This window comes from Homo sapiens, chromosome 7 (assembly GCF_000001405.40).
Source record: "Homo sapiens chromosome 7, GRCh38.p14 Primary Assembly".
In the NCBI taxonomy this organism is placed as follows: Eukaryota; Metazoa; Chordata; class Mammalia; order Primates; family Hominidae; genus Homo; species Homo sapiens.
In genome coordinates, this window is record NC_000007.14 from 128,004,023 (window position 1) to 128,008,033 (window position 4,011).

Here is a 4,011-nt window from a genome sequence, read left to right on the forward strand (position 1 = left end):
TTTGTAACTTACTTTCTTTTTTTTTTTTTTTTGCCCTATGTTTTGGCCCTTGATGTATTTGTGGGAGGAAGATGGGTAGACTGGCTAACTGTGATATCAACTGATTTCTGAATGATACAGTTATACCCTGAGTCAGTTTCTGGAGATTAAGCAAGGGTGCCAGGAGCGTTGTGAAGGGCTCTCATTGTTTTTACATGTCAGTGACTGCCTGCCTTGGTTTTGCCAGCTGCAAAATGGAAGAACTAAGCCCTCTTTTGCCTAGAGAATGCTAAAAGGTGAATACTCAGGTGTGGTGGGGAGGTTTCTAAGGACACCCAGACCCCAGATGATGCACTAAGAGTGCTGTGTGACCTGAAGAGGGACCTCTGGTCAGAACATTTTTTTCTGTCACCAGCAACTGAATAATTATGCCCAGTTGGTAGAATAGGAGAACTGTTGGCCTGGGACCCTGAGATCTGACCATGATGTTCCCCATTGGACTAAACTTTGGCCAATATTTCCTTTTCTCTATGCCATGAAATCTTTTGCATTGCCTTTTTCTGGACATGAGTAGAGTACTGACTTTGGCTTCTGATAAGCAGCATATCCTAAAGAGAATCTGTCCCAGAGGACTTAGGGGTTCCTTCAGTCTTTGCCGCTCTGGTTGCACTATTCCTGAGCTAAAGATGAAAACAGACATCAGATGTTCATCTTTGTGTTATGGGTTGTTATCCCCAGCCATCATAACCGTGTGTCTTATTTCCTGGTTGTCTGCATAAGGCCGTATTTACATAGAGTTTGCAATCTTGCCTGTGTGGTCAGTATCCGTTTCACCCTAGGTTTACAGCCAGACCTCTAACATTTGGACCCAGGCCTCTGATATTCATGCCATGTCTTTTGCCCAGAGTGTTTAAAAGGACAGGCCTGTGCCCTAGCTGCCGTAATCTTTGTTATTTTCAAGTACGAAGCAAGATAGCTTTGCCTTATTTGCTGTCTGTCTATATTTTCTGGGCATGTCAGCCAGGGAGTGAGGTTAGTAAGGTATAGCTAGAGATTGCCCTTGAAGCTTTTGATTCTTGCTTTCCTGTCCAGAATTATAGTCAGTTGTTGAGATAGCCTATCCCAACACCACTAACGTGTGACAACTTCAAAAATTCATGAGGCCTTGGGATTCACAGCACCTCTCAATAATCTAGCCTTGTATCAAGCGAAGTAGCCCTGTTGGAGCATTGCCAGCATGTGAGGTGCAGAGGGGCCCTCCGTAGCCAGCCCTTCAGCCCTTCCAGGTGTGAGAAAGGGCTCTTCATGCCACACTCACATGTGCACCCACGCATGCCTAACACCCAGTGACTGGAAGACTGCCTCCAGGGAAATACATGCAGGCTTACACCGCCCAGACAGTCTTTCATCTGTCCTTCCTCTTTCATTCTTTCACCCGCCCCCTTGTGTTTCTGTAATTTGTACAGTATCGTTGAAAGGTGTTGAAGAGATCAATAGCAATTCACCTTTTCCCTTATTGATTCAAGTGATGGCAAGAAAAAATGGCAGGCAGTACCAATTCATTTGTCATGAGCTATCCATTTCCTACCAAGCCACCAGTGACCTCTCCCAATGCCTGTTAGGTTGCTGATTTACAGTTGGGATTACTTCTTTTTCCAACCTGCTTTGATAGGAATGAGAGAACCACTGTGTTTGACTCCTGTAATCAAAGCTGGGTGAAGAAGGAGACTGCAGGTACTGAACAGGAAAACTGCTGTGGAGCCTGGTCTCCAACTCCGAGGCTTGCTTTATTTGAGGAGCTCCCCACCTGTGCTGGGCTCTCTAGCAGAGGCAATACGGCATCAGCTGATGGAGCTGCAGTCTCCCCCAGCACTTCTCAAGTCCCCACCCCCAGCCCCCGACCTTTTTCTAAAGGACACAGCCTTCCTTTGTTATCTTTTTCCACAGAATGTAAAATGAGTGTGCTGAGTGAAAAGTCCATGACCCCTGTGAACTGGCTCTGCTTTTGCCAAAGGTGCAAAGGTTTGTCATTCCCTTCATGAGCCTTCAAGTAGTAACTTCAGCTGACCCTGGGGGAATGTGAGGTGCCCAGGGTCTGGCCTTAGCAGGGCTGTGGGTGAAGGAAGTGTTCTTGTTCTTAGAGGGTTCTGTATCCACCAGGAATGTAGAGTGGAGACAGTTCTTCTCAGCTTCTTTTTCTGCCCTAGAGAAACAAGCATGGGAAGGGTGCGTGCGTGCGTGCGTGTGTGTGTGTGTTCAGCCTCACTGGGAACAGTATCTTGACTTTCACTTGGAAAAGGTAATGGTGGATCCTTGTGTGTGTGTGCGTGCATGTGTGTTTTGACCAGCCTCACTGGGAACAGTCTCTTGACTCTCATTTGGGGAAAGGTAATGGGGTATCCTCCCCCCACCTCCCAAATAGGACAGTTAGCTGCCACACACTTACATGCACATTTTAAAAACTGTGCATTGCGAATGGCAAATATGTATTAGTTCACTCACCTGGTGGGAGGACCAGGGTTCTTTGAATCCCAGGACTCTTAAGAGGGAAGTTGGCACTGACTACAAAGCCAAAGCTTGGCTAACCCAGCTGCTGCTTCTCCTTTATGTACCATATTTTGAAGGTTGTTGGTTCTTACACAGAAGCAACTGTTGTCCCCCACACCCAGTGTGGTCACCAGGCCCTCTCAACTCCCATCAGTGCTGAAGTTTGCTGCTGTGGCATAAAGTGAGCCAATTCCCAGAAACTCCTGCCTATGTAGACTTTTGGCAGAGAGGCTGCATTTGGAGGGCTACCTGGAAGAGAACCCTGCTCAGCCACTTACCTGAGTGGGCAGTTAATGGTGAGCAGTGGGAGTGGCAGTTCCCAGGGCTGGTTGTTGCCAGCATGGAGGTCGCAGTCTTTGTGTCAGCCCGAGCACACAGCCAGCCTTCTCCGGAGGAGCACTGCCATCTCAGTCTTGTTTCCTGAGCGCCGAGTGGGTTGAGGTCACTATTTTAGATGCCCCTCTCCCAGTAGCGAGATTTTGTTAGAAACCCAGTGTTGCTGTGTCAGGTAGCTCTGCAGTATGCGGATGCCAGGCCTGGAGAAGGCAGCCAGCTCTCTGTGAAGCTGGTTAATTACATGTGAAGCTGCCAGCAGGACAATTGTTTTTTTTCCCATGGATCATTAATAAACCATTCTGGCCTGGCAATTCCATCATCTTCCTCAGCTTTGTCAGACGGATCTTCCTCCTTTTTAGTATAAAGCTTTAAAAATGGCTGGGAGTGGCAAGAGGGAGGGAAAAGAAGAATCTACTTCCATTTAATGCACATGTTTTTCCCTAAGCTGAAAAGTGGCTCCCTGCTTTCAGATCATCTTGGCAGCCAGAATACAAAGGGTTCAAGGCTTGCCATGGGTGGGAAGTGGCTCGGCTCCTAGTATTTGCAGCAAACTACAGACCAGGCCTGATATGGAGACGAGGCAACTAGTGCAGCAGATGGCAAATAGTCCTGCTCCACTGGGGCTCCAGATATGCACCATCTTCTTCCTTCAGCCAAGGCAGCCTCATTCCTGCTATGCCTGAGTACAGAAAGCATTTCTGGTTTTTTAGAAACTCCTTTTTTAGGCAAAGATGGAAGAAGGCAAAGCAAATATTATATGGGAAACTCAATCTAGTTATAGACGTTTCTTTGTCAAACAAACTAAAATAGAGCTTTTCCTTTGTTGGTTAGAAAAATTTAGGAATGGAAATCTACATTTCTCCAAAGAGCATTGAGTGCAAAGATAAAAACCAAATTATAAATAGAAGTGAGTATGACCCATTCAGTTTCCAAGGACTTGAGCATACAGCCTTCATAATACTGAATTATAGCCTTTCATAGATAGAAGGGATCTAGAGGTTATATAGTCCAATCCAAACATTTCACAGTAAATGAGAAAACTGAGGCATGAAGAAGTTCATCACTTGATGTGCACTTTCACATGGTAAATTTCATGGTAGAGCCAGTCTCCACATTCCTACTGTATTGCTCTTACCTTTATCCCCACAG

At 46.3% G+C, this 4,011-nt stretch overlaps 1 protein-coding gene across 2 annotated transcripts in view; it reads left to right on the plus strand.

Moving 5' to 3' along the window:
• SND1 (staphylococcal nuclease and tudor domain containing 1) overlaps positions 1–4,011 on the plus strand; it is a 440,400-nt gene that overhangs the window by 351,829 nt on the left and 84,560 nt on the right. The window lies entirely within an intron of this gene.